General features: G+C 47.6%; 1 long non-coding RNA gene across 1 annotated transcript in view; it reads right to left on the bottom strand.

The window, feature by feature from the left end:
• The window catches only part of LOC105379854 (uncharacterized), a 71606-nt gene that overhangs the window by 8911 nt on the left and 42835 nt on the right, over positions 1–19860 (bottom strand). Inside the window, exon 2 of the long non-coding RNA XR_001756120.3 lies at positions 1–19860. This exon is cut by the window's left edge and continues 7282 nt beyond it. This is a non-coding gene — a long non-coding RNA (uncharacterized LOC105379854).

The raw sequence follows: 19860 nt of genomic DNA, 5'->3' as shown, positions 1-19860 counted from the left end.
GGAATTTCCTATGAACAAGAGACAAGATTACATTTGATTGGCCTTAGCAAAGAAGCTGGCTGCATGGGGACCCTGCCCTGGAGATCTGTGAAACTATGAACTTGGGGGTGATGATTTAGGATGTATCTGGTGAAATGAACATCTAGGCAGCATAGCACAAGAGGTGTCCTGCCTACATTGAACAGCTTGTGTTCTTATGGGTGACCTAAGAAGTGACTTCAAGTTGGAACTTCAAGTGGAGATCTAAAGTTTGGAAAATTTGGAGCCTGGCTAAGTGGTCAAAAAGAAAAGCCGATTTTGAGGGGGAAAATTCAAGAAGGCTTAGGGTATTTGTATAAAAAGGAACCCAGTGCAAAAAGCCAAGACAGTGGGAAACCAGCCTTGAAAGCATTTTAGAGATGTCTGCAGCAGCCCTTGCTGTCACAGGCCCTGGGGCCTAGGAGAAAAGAATGGTTTCCTAGGCCAGTCCCATGGCTCTGCTGCTGTGCTCAACCGCAGGACACTGCTGCCGGCATCCGTGCAGCTCCAGCACCAGCCATGGCTGAAAGATGCACAGGTACAGCTTGGGTCATTGCTTCAGAGGTGGCTCAAAGTCTTGATGGTTTCCATATAGTGTTAAGCCAGTAGGTGCACAGAGAAAGAGATTAGAGGCTTGGGAACTCCTGTCTAGACTCCAGAAGATGCACAGAAAATCCTGGATGTTCAGGAAGAAGCTTTTCCAAGAGGCAGAGCTTCATGGGGAACCTCTACTAGAGGAGCAAAGAAGGGACCTATAGGGTTGAAGCCCCCACACAGGGAGGCATCATTCTCTAAACCCCAGATTCATAGACCCATAAACAGCTTGCACCCTCAGTGTGGAAAAGCTATGGGCACTCAACAACAGCCCTGTCCATGAGAGACAGCCGCGGAGGCTGAACGCTGCAAAGCCACAGGTGCAGATCTGCCCAAGGCCTTGGGAGCTCAGCCCTCACAGCCCTGTGCCATGGATATGGGACAAGGATTCAAAAATGGCGATTTTGGAGCTGTAGCATTAAGTGACTGGCCTGCTGGGTTTTGGACACTTATGTATCCTATGAGTCACCCACTGCCTGTACAATCATTGTACCTTGGAAGTAGTAAACTTGCTTTATAATTCACTGGCTCATGGGCAGGAGGGACTGTAGACTTGTCTCAGATAAGACTCTGGGCTTTGTGCATTTGAGTAAATGCTGGAATGAGTTAAGATTTGAGAGACTCTAGGGAAAGCATCATTACATTTTGCAATGTGAGAAAGACATGAACTTTGGGGGACCAGAGACAGAATAATAGGTTTTGGCTCTCTGTCTCTACCAAAGCTCATGTGGAATGTTAATGCAAAATGTTAAAGGTGGGGGCTGATGGAAGGTGATTTAATCATGGTGGAGAGTGGAGGTTGGATGGTTGGGGGCACCGGGAGGGTGGGGGGGATTCTGGGGTGGAGAGGGTTGGAGGGAATCGGGGGTGGGGAGGGTTGGAGGAGATTGTGGTGGGGTTGGGGGTGAAAGGCAGGGGTGGGGGTGGATCCTTCACAAATGGTTAAACATCATCTCCTTAATGCTGTCCTTCTGATAGTGAGTTCTCTTCATGATTTTGGAGCTGTGAGATTGAATGAAAACTGACATACTGGATTTTGGATGTCCATTGGGCCTGTGGTCCCATTTGTGTTATTTTTCTTGGAAATTTCTTCCCTTTGGATTGAGAAAGTTTACCCAGTACCTGTACCATCATTGTACCTTGAAAGAAACAAACACCCTTTTAACTTCAGGGACTCATAGGCAGAAGAGACTGTAGCCTTGTCTCAGATGAGACTTGGAACTTTTTACATTTGAGTTAATGCAGGAAGGAGTTAAGCCTTTTGGAAACCTTTGAAAAGGCATGATTGTATTTTATTCTGTGAAAAGGATATGATACTTGGGGGGTCAAGGTCAGCATAATATGATTTGGCTGTGTGCCCCTGGAAAAACTCATGTGGAATTGTAATCCCAAATTTTGGAGATGGGGCCTGGTGGGAGATTATTTAATCATGGATGGGAGGGGTAGGGCTGGAAGAAAAAAGGGGTGGGTAGGGTGGGGAAGAATAGGCTGGCTGTAGGGCGGTGGGAGGGTGATGGATAGTAGGAAGGGGGAGTAGCCTGCTGCAGAGGCCAAGGCTCATGGAAAACTTCTACCAGGGCAGTGCACCTGTGGCTTTGCAGGCTTTAGCCTCCATGGCTGCTCTCATGGGCTGGGCTGGTGTTGAGAGCCTATCACTTTTCCATACTGAGGGTGTGAACTGTTGGTAGGTCTATGAATCTGGGGTCTCGAGGATGGTGGCCTCCTGCATAGTCAGTCAAAGCCCTTATTTTCCTTCTGCACTGCCATAGTACAGGATTCCCAAGAGCCTCTGCCTCTGCAGCAGGCTTCTGTCTGGAACACTAGGAGGTGGAGCTGTGTTGGGGGGTGGATCCTTCACCAATGGTTAAGCACCATCTTCTTGATGCTGACCTAGTGATAGTGAGTTCTCATGAGATCTGGTTATATAACAGAGTGGCACCTCTTTCCTCTCTCAGCCTTGCTCCTACTCCTGCCATATGAAATATTTCATTGCTGTTTTCCTATTGGTATGATTGGGAGTCTTCCTGAGTCCTCCCAGAAGCAGAAGCCACTATGCTTTCTTTACAGCCTGCAGAACCATGAACCAATTAAACCCCTTTTCATTATGATCATACAGAAAATAAAGTACTGCGAAGTGGAGCTATGAAATATCTTCAATGACATTTCCCCATCGTCTTGGCTATTAGCACTGGACTTCTTTTTAATGCAAATATCTGAAGCCTTCTTGAAGTTTCCCCCTGAAAATGGACTTCTTTTTCTTCTACATTGTCAGGCTGCAACAAAGATAGCTGAAAACGTAAAGCAGGTTCAGAAGTGGGTAACAGCCAGAGGTTGGAGAGTTTGGAGAGCTTGAAAGAAGACAGGAAGATGAAAGAAATTTTGGACCATCGTAGGCACTTGTTGAATAGTTGTGATTAAAAGGCTGGCAGAAGGATGGACAGTGAAGGCCAGGCTTACAAGGTCTCAGATGAAAATGAGGAAATTACTGGGAACAGGAGCCAAGGTTACTTTTGTTTTGCTGTAGCAAAGAACATGGCTGCAGGGCGACCTTGCCCTCGAGATCTGTGAAACTTTGAACTTGAGGGTGATGATTTAGTGCATATCTGGTGGAATGAACTTCTAGGCAGCATAGCACAAGGGGAATCCTGTCTGCATCAAACAGCCCGTGTTCTTGTGTGACCAAGGTTATGTGTGACTGAGGAAATGACCTCAAGTTGGAACTTATATTTAAATGACAAGCAGAGATCAAAAGTTTAGAACCATTTGCAGCCTGGCCAAGTGGTCAAAAAGAAAAGCTGATTTTCAGGGGGAAAATTCATGAAGGCTCCAGAAATTTGCATAAAATGGAGGCCAGTGCTAATAGCCAAGACAATGGGGGGGAAAAGCCTTGGAGGCATTTCAGAGATGGTTGCAGCAGCCCTTGGTGTCACAGACCCTGGGGCCTAGGAGAGAAGAATGGTTTCTGGGGCCAGCCCCATGGCCCTGCTGCTGTATGCAGCCTCAGGACACTGCTGCCTGCATCCCAGCAGCCGCAGCTCCTGCTCCGACCTTGGCTGAAAGATGCACAGGTACAGATTGCATCACTGCTTCAGAGGGTACAAGCTATAAGGCTTCACGGCTTCCACATAGTCTTAAGCCAGCAAGTCCATAGAGCACCAGCCCAGAGGCTTCAGAGTATTCATATAGATTTTGGAAGATGTATGAAAATGTCTGAGTGTCCAGACAGAAGGCTGCCAAAAAAGCAGAGCCTCCTGGGAAACCTCTACTAGGGCAGTGCAGAAGGAAAATATGGGGTTGGAGCCCCCACACTGGAGGCCACCATATGCAGACCCCAGATTCATAGACCCACCAAGAGCTTTGTACACTCTGTGCGTAAAAACTACAGGCACTCAACACCAGCACAGGCCATGAGGACAGCTGTGGGGACTGAAAACTGCAAAGACACAGGTGCAGATCTGCCCAAGGCCTTGGGAGTCCAGCCCTCATGCCCTTGTGCCCTGGATGTGGGACAAGGATTAAAAAAGGATGACTTTGGAGCTGTAAGTTTGAGTAACTGGCCTGCTGGGTTTTGGATTTTCCTGGGACCTGTAAGTCCCGTTTGTGTTTCGTTGTTCTCTCTGGCAAAAATCTTCCTTTAGGGTGGGAATTCTTACTCAATGCCTGGACAATCATACCTTGGAAATAGTTAACTTTCTTTGTATTTCAGAGGCTCAGGAACAGAAGGGACTGCATCTTTGTCTCAGATGAGACTTTGGGCTTCAGACATTGAAGTAAATGCTGGAATGAGTTAAGACCTTGGAGGTCTTAGCCAAGACGATGGGGAAAAGTCATTGAAGGCGTTTCATAGCTTCACTTCACAGTACTAATTTTCTGTATGATCATAACAAAAAGGGGTTTAATCGGCTGATGGTTCTGCAGGCTGTAAAAAAAAGCATAGTGGCTTGGGGAATTGTAAGTAAGGCATCACTGTATTTTGCAAAGTGAGAAGGACATGAGATTTGGGGAGGCAGGGACAGAATAATAAGATTCGGCTGTGTGTCGCTATGGAAACTCATGTGGAATTGTAATCAGAAATGTTAAAATTGGGGCCAGGTGGAAGGTGATTTAATCATGGAGGGCACTGGGTGTTGCAAGATGGAGATTGGGGAGGATGGGTGGATTATGCTGGCGGTGAGGGGTGAAAAGTGGGGGTGGGGGTATGATCCCTCACAAATAGTTAAACAGCATCTCCTTAATCCTTTCCTCATGATAGTGAGTTCTCGTGACGGTTTTGGAGCTGTGAGATTTAATGGATACTTGTCTCCTGGGTTTTGGACTTGCATTGGCCCTGTAATTCCATTTGTGTTATTTTCCTGGCAAACCCCTACCCTTTGGATTGAGAAAACTTACCCAATGCCTGTACCATCATTGTACCTTGAAAGAAAAGAACTCCCTTTTAAATTCAGGGACTTATAGGCAAAAGGGACTGTAGCCTTTTCTCAGGTGAGACGTGGAACTTTTTACATTCGAGTTAATGCTGAAATGACTTAAGACTTTTGGCAACTTTTGAAAAGACATGATTATATTTTACTCTGTGAGAAGGATAGGATATTTGGGGGATCAGGGTCAGAATAATATGGTTTAGCTGTGTGTCCCTACCTAAACTCACATGTAATTGTAATCCCGAATGTTGCAGGTGGGGCCTGGTGAGAGGTGACTTATTCATGGATGGGAGAGGGGTGGGGTTGGAAGTAAAAACAGGTGGGTAAGGTGGGGAGGAGTAGGCTGGCTGTAGGGTGGTGTGTAGCAGGAAGGGAGTAGACTGCCACAGAGGCAGAGGCTCATGGAAAACCTCTACTAAGGCAGTGCACCTGTGGTTTTGCACCTGTGGCTTTGCAGGGTTTAGCACCTGCTGCTGCTCTCATGGGCTGGGCTGGTGTTGAGTACCTGAAGCTTTTCCATACTGGGGGTGTGAGCTGTTGGTAAGTCCATGACTCTTGGGTCTGGAGGATGGAGGCGTGGGGGCTCCAAGCCCATATTTTCCTTCTGTACTGCCCTAGTAGAGGTTTTCCAAGGGGATCTGTCTCTGCCTCAGGCTTCTGCTTGGAAACAGTGGGTGGTGGATATGGGGAGGTGGGCAGATCCTTCACCAACAGTTAAGCACAATCTTCTTGATGCTGATCTCCTGATAGTGAGCTCTCATGAGATCTAGTTGTATAACAGGTTGTCTCACCTCTTTCCTCTCTCTGTCTTGCTTCTACTCCTGCCATATGAAATATTTCATTGCCGCTTGGCCTTCTGGTATAATTGGGAGGCTTTCTGAGTCCTCCTACAAGCAGAAACCACTATGCTTTCTTTACAGCCTGAAGAACTGTGAGTCAATTAGACCTCTTTTCTTTATGTAGATACAGAAAATTAATGCTGTGAAGTGAAGTTATGAAATGACTTCTAGGCGTTTCCCCCATTCTCTTGGCTATTAGCACTGAGCTTTTTTCAATGCAAATATTGGAGGCCATCTTGATGTTTCCCCTGATAATGGACTTTTCTTCTTTTACCATATTGCCAGGCTGCAACAAAGATAGCTGACAGTGTAGAAGCAGGTTCCAAATTGGGTAATGGCCAGAGGTTAGAGAGTTTGGAGAGCTTGGAAGAAGATAGCAAGATGAGGGAAAGTTTGGACCATTGCAGAGACTTGTTAAATAGTTATGATTAAAAGGCTGACAGAAGGATGGACACTGAAGGCCAGGCTTGTAAGGTCTCAGATGAAGATGAGGAACTTACTGGGAAAAGGAGTCAAGGTTTTTTTCTTTTGCCTTAGCAAAGTAATTGGCTACACAGTGACCATTCCCTGGAGATCTGTGAAACTGAACTTTAGGGTGATGATTTAGGGTGTATCTGGTGGAATGAACTTCTAAGCAGCAAAGCTGAAGGGTTGTCCGGCCTACGTCGAACAGCCTGTGCTCCTATGTGTGATGAAAGAAATTACCATAAGTTGGAACTTATATTTAAATGAGAAGCAGAGCTTCAACATTTGGAAAATTTGTAATCTGGACAAATGGTCAAAAAGAAAAGCTGATTTTCAGGGGGAAAATCAAGAAGCCTTCGGATATTTGCATAAAAAGGAGCCCAGTGCTAATAATTCAAGACAATGGGAAAAAGGCCTTGAAGGCGTTTCAGAGATCTTTGTAGCAGCCCTTGCTGTCACTGGCCCTGGGGTTTAGGAGAAAAGAATAGTTTCCTGGCCCAGCCCCATGGCTCCACTGCTGTGTGCAGCCTCAGGACACTGCTGCCTGCATCCTTGCAGCTCCTTTTCCAGCCCCAGCCATAGATGAAAGATGCACAGGTACAGCTTGCGTCACTGCTTCAGAGGATGCAAGCTCCAAGCCTTGGTGGCTTCCACATAGTGTTAAGCCAGCAGGTGCATAAAGCACAGGACTAGAAGCTTCAGAGCCTTGGTCTGGACTCCAGAGTATATATCAGAAATCCTGAGTGTCTAGCCAGAAGCTTTTCCAAGAGGCAGAGCCTCATGGTAAACCTCTACTCGGGCAGTACAAAAGGAAAATATAGGGTTGGAGTCCCCATACAGGGAGGCACCATTTTCCAGACCCCAGTATCATAGACCCACCAGCTGCTTGCACCCTTAGTGTTGAAAAGCTACAGGCACTCAACACCAGCCTAGCCAATGACGGCAGCTGTAGGGGGGAGATTCTGCAATGCCACATGTGCAGAGCTGCCCAAGGCCTTGGGATCCCAGCCATCACAAAACCCTGTGCTCTGGATGTGGACATAGATTCCAAAAAGATGATTTGAAGCTGTATGATGGAATGCCTGGCCTGCTGGGTTTTTGACTTGCAGGGGGTGTGTAAGTCCCATCTGTGTTTTGTGCTTCTTTCTGGGAAATTTCTTCTATTTGGCTTGGAATGCTTACCCAATGCCTGTACAATCATTGTAACTTGGAAGTGGTTAACTTGCTTTGTATTTCAGAGGCTCAGGCCAGAAGATATGGCAGCCTTGTCTCAGAGGAGACTTTGGCCTTTGGACATTTGAGTAAATGCTGGGATGAGTTAAGATTTGGGGGACTCTAGGGAAGGCCTCATTGCATTTTGCAATGTGAGAAAGACATGAACTTTGGGGGACCAGGGACAGAATAATATGTTTTGGCTCTGTCTCTACCAAAACTCATGTAGAATTTTAATGGGAAATGTTAAAGGTGGGGGCTGGTGGAAGGTGAGTTAATCATGTTGAAGAGTGGAGGTTAGATGGTTGGGGGGTGGGGAGGGTTGGGGGGATTAAGGGGTGGGGAGGGTTGGGGGCGATTGTGGTGGGGTTGGGGTGAAAGGCAGGGGTAGGGGGTAGATCCTTCACAAATGGACATTTGAGTAAATGCTGGAATGAGTTCAGACATTGGGGGACTGTAGAGAATGCATCATTGTATTTTGCAGTATGAGAAGGATGTGAGATTGGGGGGCCAAAGGGAGAATAATACGATTTGGCTCTGTGTCCCTACCAAAACTCATGTGGAATTATAATGGGGAATGTTAAGTGTGGGGCTTGGTAGAAGGTGATTTAATCATGGTAGAGAATGGGGGTTGGAAGGGGGATGTGGGAGAATGGAGGTTCATGGTGTGGGTGAGGGTGAAACATGGGGATGGGTGTCAGATCCTTCACAAATGGTTAAATACTATCTCCTTAATGCAGTCTGTGTGACAGTGAGTTCTTGTGATAAATGAATGCTGTCCTGCTGGGTTTTGGAGTCGGATTGGGCCTGTGTCCCATTTGTGTTATTTTTCTAGGAAACCCTTCCCTTTGGTTTAAGAAAGCCTACCCAGTGCCTGTGCCATCATTGTAACTTGAAAGAAAAGAATTGTCTTTTACATTCAGGGACTCATAGGCAGAAGGGATTGTAGCCTTGTCTTGGATGAGACTTGAACTTACTACATTTGAGTTACTGCTGGAATGAGTTAAGACTTTTTGAAACTTTTGAAAAGGCATGTTTGTATTTTTCTGTGTGAGAAGGACATGAGATGTGGGGGTGTCAGGGTCAGGATAATATGGTTTGGCTGTGTTTCCCTACAAAAACTCATGGGGAATTGTATTCCTGACAGTTGTAGGTTGGGCCTGCTGGGAGGTGATTTAATCACAAACGGGAGGTTGGTAGGGGTGGAAGGGAAAACAAATGGGTAGGATGGGGAGGAGTAGGCTGGCAGTAGGGTGGTGAGAGGTTCGTGGGCAGTATTAAGGGGGAGTAGCCTGCTGCAGAGGCAAAGCCTCAAGGAAAACCTCCACCAGGGCAGTGCACCTATGGCTTTGCTGGGTGTAGCCCCCATGGCTGACCTCATAGGCTGGGCTGTTATTGAGTGGCTGTAGCTTTTCCATACTGAGAGTGCAAGCTGTTGGTGAGTCTATGAATCTGGGGTCTGAGGATGGTAACCTCCTGTGTGGGGCCTCCAAGCCCATATACTTTTTCTGCTCTGCCCTATTAGAGGTTTTCCTAGTGGCTCTGCCTCTTCCTCAGGCTTCTGCCTGGAAACAGTGAGGGGTGTGGGTGGTAGGGGGCAGAACTTTCACCAATGATTAAGCAACATCTTCTTGATACTGACCTTGTGATAGTGAGTTCTCAGGAAATCTGGTTGTATAACAGGGTTATACAACGTGTGGCACCTTTTTCCTCTCTCTGTTTTGTTTCTACTTCTGCCATATAAAACATCCCATTGCTGCTTGGTCTTCTGGTATGATTGGGAGGCTTCCTGAGTCCTCCCAGAAGCAGAAGCCTCTATGATTTATTTAAAGCTTGCAGAACCATGAGCCAGTTCAACCTCTTTTCTTTCTGATTATACAGAAAAATAATGCCATAAAGTGGAACTATGAAATGCCTTCAAGGCCTTTTTCCTATTCTCTTGGCAATCAGCACTCAGCTTCTTTTCAGGCAAATGTCTGAAGCCTGCGTTAATTTTTCTCCTGAAATGGACTTTTCTTCTTTTACCACATTGCCAGGCTGTGACAAACGTAGCTGAAAATGTAGAAGCAGGTTGAGAAGTGTGTAATGGCCAGAGGTTGGAGAGTTTGGAGGTCTTGGAAGAAGACAGGAAGATGAGGAAAAGTTTGGATCAGTGTAGAGACTTGTTAAATAGTTATAATTAAAAAGGTGACAGAAGGATGGACAGTGATCACCAGGCTTAGAAGGTCTCACATGAAAATGAGGAGCTTGCTGGGAACAGGAGTCAAGGTCACTTTTGTTTTTTCCTTAGCAAAGAATGTTGCTGCACGATGCCCCTAACCTGGAGACCTGTGAAATTTTGAACATCAGGGTGATAATTTAGAGTGTATTTGGTGGAATGAAATTTTAGGCAGCAAAGCTTAAGAGGTTTCCTGTCTGTGTCGAACAGCCTGTGGTCCTATATGTGACCAAAGAAATGACCTCAAGGTGAAACTTGTATTTAAATGAGAAGGAGAGCTTAAAAGTTTGGATAATTTGAAGCCTGGCCAAGTGGCCAAAAAGAAAAGCTGATTATCAGTGGGAAAGTTCAAAAAGTCTTCAGAAATGTGCATAAAAAGGAGTTCAGTGCTAATAGCCAATACAATATTAAAAAGGTCTTGAAGGCATTTCAGAGACTTTTGCAGCAGCCCTTGCTATCACAGGCCCTGAGGCCTGGGAGAAAAGAATGGTTTCCTTCTCCAGCCCCATGGCCCCACTGCTATGTCCAACCTCAGGACACTGCTGGCTGCATTCCTGAAGCTCCAGCTCCAGCCTTGGCTGAAAGATGCACAGGTACTGCTTGCATCACTGCTTCAGGGGTGCAAGCTCCAAGGCTTGGTGGTTTCCACATAGTGTTAAGCCAGCAGCTGCACACAGCACAAAACTAGACGCTTGCAAGCCTTTGTCTAGACTCCAGAGTATGCACGGAAGAACCTGGGTGTTCACACAGAATCTTTTCCAAGAGGCAGAGCCTCATGGGAAACTTTTACTAGGGCAGTACAGAAGGAGAATTTAGGGCTGGAGTCCCTAAATATGGAGGCACCGTTCTCCAGACTCCAGATTCATAGACTCACCAACAGCTGGCACCCTTAGTATGGAAATGCTACAGGCACTCAACATCAGCCCAGCCCATGAGGGCAGCTGTGGGGTATAGACCCTGCACAGCCACAGGTGCAGAGCTACCCAAGGCCTTGGAAGCCCAGGCATCACACACCTGTGCTCTAGATGTGAGATGTAGATTCAGAAAAGATGATTTGGAGCTGTAGGATTCAATGACTGGCCTGCTGGGTTTTTGACTTGCATGGGGTCTGTAAGTCTTTGTACATTTCAGTAAATGCTGGAATGAGTTAAGTCATTGGGGGACAGTAGAGAAATCATCAGTGTATTTTGCAGTGTGACAAGGATACAAGATTTGGGGAGCAAGAGCCAGAATAATATGATTTGATTCTGTGTCCCTACCAATGTTCATGTGGAATTGTAGTGGGGAATGTTAAAGGTGGGACCTGGTGGGAGGTGATTTAATCATGGAGAAGAGTGGGTGTTGGAGGTAGGGGTGTGGGGAGAATGGGAGAGATTATTTTGTGGGAGGGAGTGAAAGGTGAGGGTGGGGGGCAGATTCTTCACAAATGAGTAAACTCTATCTCCTTAATGCTGTCCGCACGACAGTGAGTTCTCTTGATGATTTTGGAGCTGTGAGATTGAGTGAATACTGTCTTGCTGGGTTTTGGACTTGCATTTGTGTTATTTTTCTGGGCAACTTCTTCCCTTTGGATTGAGAAACCTTATCCAATACCTGTTCTACCTTGAAGGAAAAGAAATCCCTTTTAAATTCAGGGACTCATTGGCAGAAGGGACTGTAACCTTGTCTCAGATGAGATTTTGAAATTTTTACATTCGGAATGAGTTAAGACTTTTAGAAACTTTTGAAAAGGCATGATTGTGTTTTGCTCTGTGAGAAGGACATGAGGTTCTGGGGAATCAGGGTCAGAATAATATGAGTTGGCTGTGTGTCCCTATAAAACTCACATGTCATCCTTAATGTTGGAGGTGGGCCAGGTGGGAGGTGACTTAATCTTGGATGGGAGGGGGTTGGGGTGGAAGGAAAAGGAGGGATAGTGTGGGGAGGAGTAGGTTGTCAGTAGGGTGGTGGGAAGGTGGGAGTAACCTGCTGCAGAGGCAGAGGCTCATGGGAAACCTCTACCAGGAGAGTGCACCTGTGGCTTTGCAGGGTGTAGCCCCCATGGCTGATCTCATGGGCTGGGTTGGTGTTGAGTGCCTGTAGCTTTTCCATACTGAGAGTGTGAGCTGTTGGTGGGCTTATTAATCTGGAGTCTGGAGGATCGTGGCCTCTTGTGTGGGGGCTCAAAGCCTATATTTTCTTTCTGCGCTGCCATAGTGGAAGTTTCATAAGAGGTTCTGCCTCTGCAGGAGGCTTCTGCCTGGAAGCAGTGGGCAGTGGTGTGGTTGGAGAATCCTTCACCATTGGTTAGTCTTCTTGATGCTGATCTCCTGATAGTGAGTTCTCATGTGATCTGGTTGTCTAACAGGATGTCACACCTCTTTCCCCTCTCTGTCTTGCTCCTACTCCTGCCATATGAAACATCTCATTGCCTCTTGGTCTTCTGATATGGTTAGGAGGGGCCTGATCAGTGTGGGCCTGCTCAGTGGACCTAGTCAGTTGGGACTTGTCAGTGAGGCCTATTTAGTGGGGGGTGGTCAGCAGGGGTCTGCTTAGAGCGGGTCTCATTAGAGGGATCTAGTAGTGTATGTCTTGGTGAGTGGGTTGATAGTGGTAGACAAATGTTTGGTGTCTGGTCAGTGCCAATCTGGGCTGTGGGACTTGGTCAGTGGAGACCTTGGGACCGAGTCAGCAGAGACGCTTGTCAGTGGGGCCCTGGTCAGGGCAGGCTGGTCCGTGGAACTTAATCAGTGGGGGCCTGGTCAGAGAGGACTTGATCATTGGTGGCTTTTGTAGCACTGGTCTACGGGGTGACCTGGTCAGCGGGGATCTGAGCAGTGTGTGCCTGTTCAGTGGGGCGTAGTCATTAGGGTCCCAGTCAGGGGCATCTTGTCACCTCAGTCCTGGTTAGCAGGGGCCTGGTCACTGGCTGCCTATTCCCTGCAGGCCTGGTCAGTGGGGCTTCGTCTGTGGGACCAGACGATGAGGTCATGATCGGCGGAACCTGATCAGTGAGGCCTTGTCAGTAAGGACCTCGTCAGTGAGGCCTTGCCAGTGAGGCCTTGTCAGTAAGGTCCTCGTCAGTGGAGTCCTGGTCATTGTGGGCCTGGCAGCGGGAATCTAGTTAGTGAGGCCTGGTGATGGGGCTCTAATCAGTGAGGGTGTGGTCAGGGAGGAAGTGATATGCTGGATCTGGTCACCAGGGACCTGGTCAGTGGGGGCTGCTGAGTACTGCTGGGAGATGTCAGGGGAAATGCATGTTATCGAGGAGCCTGTGGACAGCTGGGGTGGCCCAGTGGTGTTCAGTGGCCCAGTCAAAACTGGACAAAGCAGGTGTTTGGATGGACCTGGGAGATCTTGCTCAGAGATTCTGACAGGACAAAGGTAAAGGAAGGGCCAGAGTGGTCGGAGAGATAGTCACAGTCTATGGTCTGCACAGGATGGAGGAGGCCAGGGAACAGGCAGGTTGGGCAGCTTGGTTTCAGGGAGAGGCAGGTGCATGCTGGGAGGTCAGACCCTATGAGGGTTGTGGGGGCGTCAGGTGGTGTGGGCTCCAGGTGCACCCTCAGCGCACTGGGCAGGTCTTGGCCCAGGCTCCCTGGACCTTGGCCGGGTGATGTGGTCACTTGCTGGGAGACTGTTGTCAGGTGCTGGCCACCCACCCTGGGTAGCACTGTCCCATCTCAGGACTGGACTTCCTCAGATACTGTAGAGAGCACAGCCTCCAGCCCAGGAGGGGCAGCCCCTTGGTGCAGCCTGAGCTCTCCATGGGCCTGGAGCATCCCCTGCCAGCCCTGCACTCCCTCTTCTCCCAGGTCCCACTTTTCCAGGGTCAGCCAGTGGGGAGGCCCCTTCCTCACTTCCCTATGTGTCTCCTGGGCTGAAACTTGCAGTGCACTGGGACAGGGATGAGGCTTCCCTAAGGCCCATTTAGGGAGAGGACTGGCTCCCAGCCTGGCACAGGTCCTCAGCTCTGCCTTGGTTGCCTTAGAATGAGATGTATCAGTACCTTTACCTGAAGGTAAAGGTAGGAGACTGTCCCTGCTGTTGGGAGGCTGGTCTAGGGATGGAGGACTTCACAGGTCCTCCCAGTCTGTCAGGCCTGGGCAGCACTGTCCTGTTTTAGGACTCAGAAAGTCCAGTTCTGGGATGGGACGGTGCTGCCCAGGGAGGGTGGCCAGGGTCTGACAGCAGTCCCCCAGGGAGTGACCACATCACCCAGCCGGGGTCCAGGGAGCCTGGCCTGAGACTTGCCCTGTGCACTGAGGGTGCACCTGGAGCCCACTCCACCTGATGCCCCCACAGCCCTCACAGGTCCTGACCTCCCAGCATGCACCTGCCTCTCCCTGAATTCCAGCTGTCCACCCTGCCTGTTCCCTCACTTCCTCCATCCTGTCCAGCAGGATGGGATGGGCAGGGGGACAGCCTGTGTGCACATTTCATGGCAAGCAGGAGTGACACACCATCCCTGGGAGGCGCCTTGGTTCCTCCAAAACCCGGCCCCAGAACTCTGTCCTTGGGGTGGTTTTACCAAACCCCAAACCCAGAACTGTGGTTGTGGCTCAGGGGTCAGCACCCGCTAGTTCTACAATGTCGCCAAGGACTTTGATTGTACAATGTTCTTATTTTCAATAGTCATTCCAAATATTGTGAGATGCATTGTTTCAGGAAGCCCCTTGCCCTCCTAAAAGCCACCCTACTTCTCTCTAAGGAGAATGGCCCAGTCCTCTCCCGAGTTCACACATGGTAGGCGATAGCATTGCTTTTGTGTAAATTACATAATGCAAAATTTTTTAAATCTTTGCCTTAATACTTTCAAATTTTGTTTTATTTTGAATGACTAGCCTTCATGGCCCCACTTTTTTGTACCCCAACTTGTAATGTATGAAGGGTTTTGGTCTCCCTGAGAGTGGCTCAAGGCAGCCAGGGCTTACCTGTACTCTGACGTGAGAAAAGTTGGATAAAAGTGTTCACCTTTAAAAAATTGAATGACGAAGCATTAACAAAAACAGTATTTCAGTACAGTGGACAGCTTAGCTTTTTGACAATTGGGAATAAAATGCTCATTTCTGAACTGTACAATGTAAGACACAAAAACAAAACACTGGAAATGGAAATTCAATTATGTCATTATAGACTGGCTACTGCTCTATATGACTGTGACCAAAGTCAGATAGTTGAAAGAGATTTCTTTCCAGAGAACAAGACATGAACAGGTTTATTTACAGAAAACAATGAATTCTCATATATCTAACCTAAAATATAGCAGATTCTTTCCGAACAAGTCTAATGTAGACAGTAAAATTAACAGGCTAAAAATTAAGCTCCATCAAACAAGATGAACTCTGAGAGAATAGATGGGGCAGGCCGCCATCTTTCCTGTTCAGGCAACTTAGTCATTCCAGCCTGAGGGCTTTGGAGAGTATAAACCGACAAGGGGCAGAAGAGATCCCACAGCACAGCTAGCTGCTTTACCAAATCATGGCCAGAATGCTTCTGTAAGCAGGCCCCCGACCTTGTTGCACATCACTGTACAGGACCTCCCAAATGGGGCCTCCAGCTACCACCACCAGCATTCCTTGGCCAATAGAAATTTGAAGTGTTCACGGGACAGAGCTCCCAGAGAGAGGGGCAGGCCACCACCTTTGCTGTTTGGGTGACTAGCCGTTCTGGTTTGCGGGCTTTGGAAAGCCCAAGGTGACAAGGGGTGGAAGAGGAACCTCAGCGCAGCACGGCCACACTACAAAAACGTGGCCAGACTCTTGTTTAAGTCAGTCCCCGACCACATTTCTAATCAGCAGGTGAAGGCTTTCAACCAGGGTCTCCAGCTGCCCTCACTGCTGTTCTCTGGCCGACAGAGGTTTCAGGCCTCCCTGAGTCAGAGCTCCCAGGGGGAGGACCAGACTGTTGTCTTTGCTGTTGGGGCAACTCAGCCATTTCAGCATTAGGGCTTCAGAGTGTCTGAGGCAACCAGGAGTGGAAGTGAACACCCGGCATAGCACAGCTGCTCTAGAAAAACGTGCCCAGACTTTTTTTTTAAGTCAGTGCCTGTTTTTGTTCCTCCTGACTAGATAAGACTTCTCAACTTGTCTCCAGTCACATCTTATAGGTGTGTTCATACTGGCAACAAGTTCGTACCTCAGTGGCACAGAGCTCCCAGAGGAAGGGGCAGGCTATCATCTTCCCTGGAAAATACAAGGCAATTAGGGACTGGAGGGGACCCCCAGCATACCACAGCAGCCTGACAGAAAAGTGGCCAGACAGTCTACTTGATGGGCAGGTCCTACTGACCTGGGTCTCCAGCCAGTCCACCATCAGAGCTATCCAGCCAGTAGCAACTCAGCAATTCCCTGGACAGAGCTTCCAGGAGCAAACGAAATTCTCTCTTCCATTGCCTCTGCAGTGAAACTGCCCTTTCTACCCTCAGAATATCAAGGGAGCAAAGACCCTAAGTGCCATATTGACACCTCCAATAAGCTGCGGTTGACCCAATGAACAAGCCAGTCCATCTCCCACGGGTACCACACACCCCCCACTGCTCATCACCAGAGAGGGAACACTGGCTTGACCTCACAATACAGACCCTCCATCCTGGGCTGATTACGCTAAGTGATTGCTAACTCACATCTCTATGGGATGGAGCACCCAGGAGACAAGCAGAGTGGTGGAGCAGCAAGTCAGGTGATGTGGAGCCCAGAGGGCAGGGACAGCTATCTCTCTAGGCTCCACGTGCCCTTGTGAGATACTTTATCCCAGCACTTTAGGAATGCTAAGTTCAGATCAGCCCCATCTCATGTTCAAGATTGCCCAGCAGAGATCAGGTCCCAGAGTTCCCCTCTTCAAAAAGGGGACTTGCTTAAAACAGAAGCCTGGCCATGTTTGTGTAAAGCAGCTATGCTGTGCCGGGGGTTCACTTTTGAGAGAGTTCTCCTCTGAGACCTGATCTCTGCTGGGCAGTCTTGCACATGAGATGGGGCTGGTCTGATATCAGCACTCCTTAGTCTGCTTGCCTCTCCCAGGACCCCAGCCTGGCCACACCTGCATACAGGGCACTCTCGGATGCCCACAGCATAGCTTCCATGCTAGTGGACTGTACCTGATCAGTGGAGAGCTGCAGCAAGGTGGCCCCAACAGCCACGCACCAGCCTGCACATTACCTCTCCGTACTGCAGCCCTTTATATGGAAACTTCCTACATCACTTTGCTGTGTGTGTTTACACATGTGGGTTTTGCTGTACTTGCCCTGACAGCACAGGGGAGTGCAGGACACACCCCAACCCACACCAACTGCCATTGAAGACAGAGCCTTGGTGGGCACAGAACCAAGAACCCCACCCCTGCCAGCACCTAACCCTTGAGCTAATGCTGTGCAGAGAAAAAGGGACCTTCTTATAACCTGAGTGACCACGGTTGCTTTGAGGGGCACAGAGAAGGCACCATGGCCTGCACTGGCCAGCAGCCCACCCTGAACCAACACTACCTCCAGTGCAACACACACACAGCAGGGGACCCCTGGCCCACACCCCAGCTGTCTTGCCTCCACCACTGGGTGAACGCCCGCAGGGAGGCAGGGACTTTTGCATCCACTAGCATTCTGCCACAGTTGACACACTTTGGTCCCCTCAGTGCAGTGGACTCCAAACCTCCAAGAGCCAGAGAACAAAGTTGGGGCTCAAGACAAGTTCCCCAGAGTTAAAGCACAAAGTCCAGGAATTGGGAGCTGCACATTGGCCCCCCTAAAATCCTCCAAAAACAAAGCCAGTTGGTTGAATCCACCTTATCCCACAATGAAACCCTCAAGATCATCAAATACAATAAAAGAAAAATACCCTGTCCGAAGGTCAGCAACCTCAAAGATGGAAGGTGGATAAGCCCATAAAGATGAGAAAGAATCTGTGTGAGAACACTGAAAACTCAAAAAGTCAGCATGCCTTCTTTCCTCCAAATGACTGTATCAACTCTCCAGCAAGTGTTCAGAACTGGGCTGAGGCTGAGATGTCTGGAATGATACAAGCAGGGTTCAGGATATGCGTAGGAACAAAGTTCACTGAGTGAAAGAAGTATGTTGTCATGCAATACAACAGAGCTAAAAATCATTGTAAAACATTGTAGGAGCTAACAGACAAAATAGCAAGTATAAAGAAGACATAACCGACCTAATAGAGCTGAAAAGCACACTACAAGAATTTTCATAATGCAGTCACATAGTGATTATGTGTGATTGCATTATGAAAATTATTGTAGTGTTTGTGGGCACCCGAGATTGCCCTGTAAGCAGGTGTGGCCAGGCTGGGGTCCTGGGAGAGGCAAGCAGACTAAGGAGGGCTGAGGTCACACCAGCTCCATCTCATGTGCAAGACCACCCAGCAGAATAGACCAAGCAGAGGAAAGAATCCCAGAGCTTGAAAACTGGCTTTCTGAAATAAAACAGGCAGACAAGAATGGGGGAAAAAAGAAGGAAAATGAATGAACAAAACATCCAAGAAATATGAGATTATATAAACGACAAAATCTATGACTGATTAGTGTACGTGAAAGAGATGAGGAGAATGGAACCAACTTGGAAAACATACGTCAGAATATCATTCATGAGAATATCCCCAACCTATCCAGACAGGCCAACATTCCAATTCAGGAAATCCAGAGAACCTCAGTAAGATAAGCCACGAGAAGATCATCCCCAAGACATATAATCATCAGATTCTCCAAGGTCAAAATGAAAGAAACAATGTTAAAGGCAGCCAGGGAGAAAGGCAACGTCACCTGCAAAGGGAATTCCATCAGACTTAGCAGACTTCTCAGCTGAAACCCTACAAGCCAGAAAAGATATTCAACTTCTTAAAGAAAAGAAATTTCACGTAGTATGGCAGAGACAGATATACCATATAATAACATGGTGTTATTATAAATGGTTAAAAGAAAAAGAAATTTCAACCCAGAATTTCATGTCCAGCAAAATTAAGCATCATAAGTGAAGGAGAAACAAGATCCTTTTCAGACAAGCAAATGCTGAGAGAATTCATTATCACCAGATCTACAAGAGCTCCTGAATGAAGCACTAAATATGGAAAGAAAAGACCATCACCAGCCACTACAAAAATGCACCGAAGTACACAGACCAGTAATGCTAAAAACCAACCACACACACAAGTCTGCAAAATAACTAGCTGACAGCAGGACGACAGGATCTAATCCACACATACCATTACTAACCTTAAATGGAAATGGGCCAAATGCTCCGATTGAAAGACACAGGGGGGCAAGCTGGATAAAGAACCAAGACCCATTTGAGTATGCCGTCTCCAAGAAACCCATCTCACCTGCAGTGCCATACATAGGCTCAAAATGAAGGAATGGTGAAAAATCTTTCAAGCCAATGGAAAACAGAAGAAATCAGGTGTTACACCCTCAGTTTCGACAAAACGTATATACCAATAAAGATAAAAAAAGACAGAGAAGGACATTACAAAGGTGGTCCTGACCTTTGATAAATCTCATTATTGATTGCTACCAACCTGGGCTATCTTTATTGCCCAAACCAACAGGATAATTTGCTGAGGTTGTGGAGCTTCTCCCCTGCAAAGAGTCCCTGATCTCCCAAAATCTGGTTGAGATCTAAGTTTGATTTTGCTGTACAACTCCTTTTCTGAAGTTTTACTCATTTCCAACAAGGAAGGCAAGTTTTCCTGCTTCTGTGGTGATGGAGAGCAGGCACCTCCTTTCCTGAGTTTCAGCTTGCTTCTGACAGGGAAGGTGAGTGTAAGTTGTTTCCAGCTTCTAAGATGGCAGAGAACGATCCCCAGCCTGAGCCTTGTTTCCAGGTAAGTAGCTGAATTAGAGTTTTGTCTTAAAATTTTTCCTTAATGACTAAAATTTAAGATTACTCACCAGCTGCTTTTAATTTCTGCTTTTAGTTTCTCCTTACCATTAGAACACTCAGTAATCATATGAATTGTGCATTTGTTGTTTTGCTTAACTCTTTTTGTCTGTTTATGCTTGGGGCTTTATTGTTGTTGTTTCACTTTTCTCCCGTCTCTTCCTGACTTGGTCAAATCCAAAGGAATTTTCCAAATTGTGGGCAGCAAGGCCTCTGAATTGGCTAAAACTCCTATGG

The sequence above is a fragment of the Homo sapiens genome, assembly GCF_000001405.40.
Source record: "Homo sapiens chromosome 1 unlocalized genomic scaffold, GRCh38.p14 Primary Assembly HSCHR1_CTG1_UNLOCALIZED".
Taxonomy (NCBI): domain Eukaryota; kingdom Metazoa; phylum Chordata; class Mammalia; order Primates; family Hominidae; genus Homo; species Homo sapiens.
The sequence above is the reverse complement of the archived record's forward strand: the minus strand, read 5'-3'. Positions and strand labels throughout refer to the sequence as shown.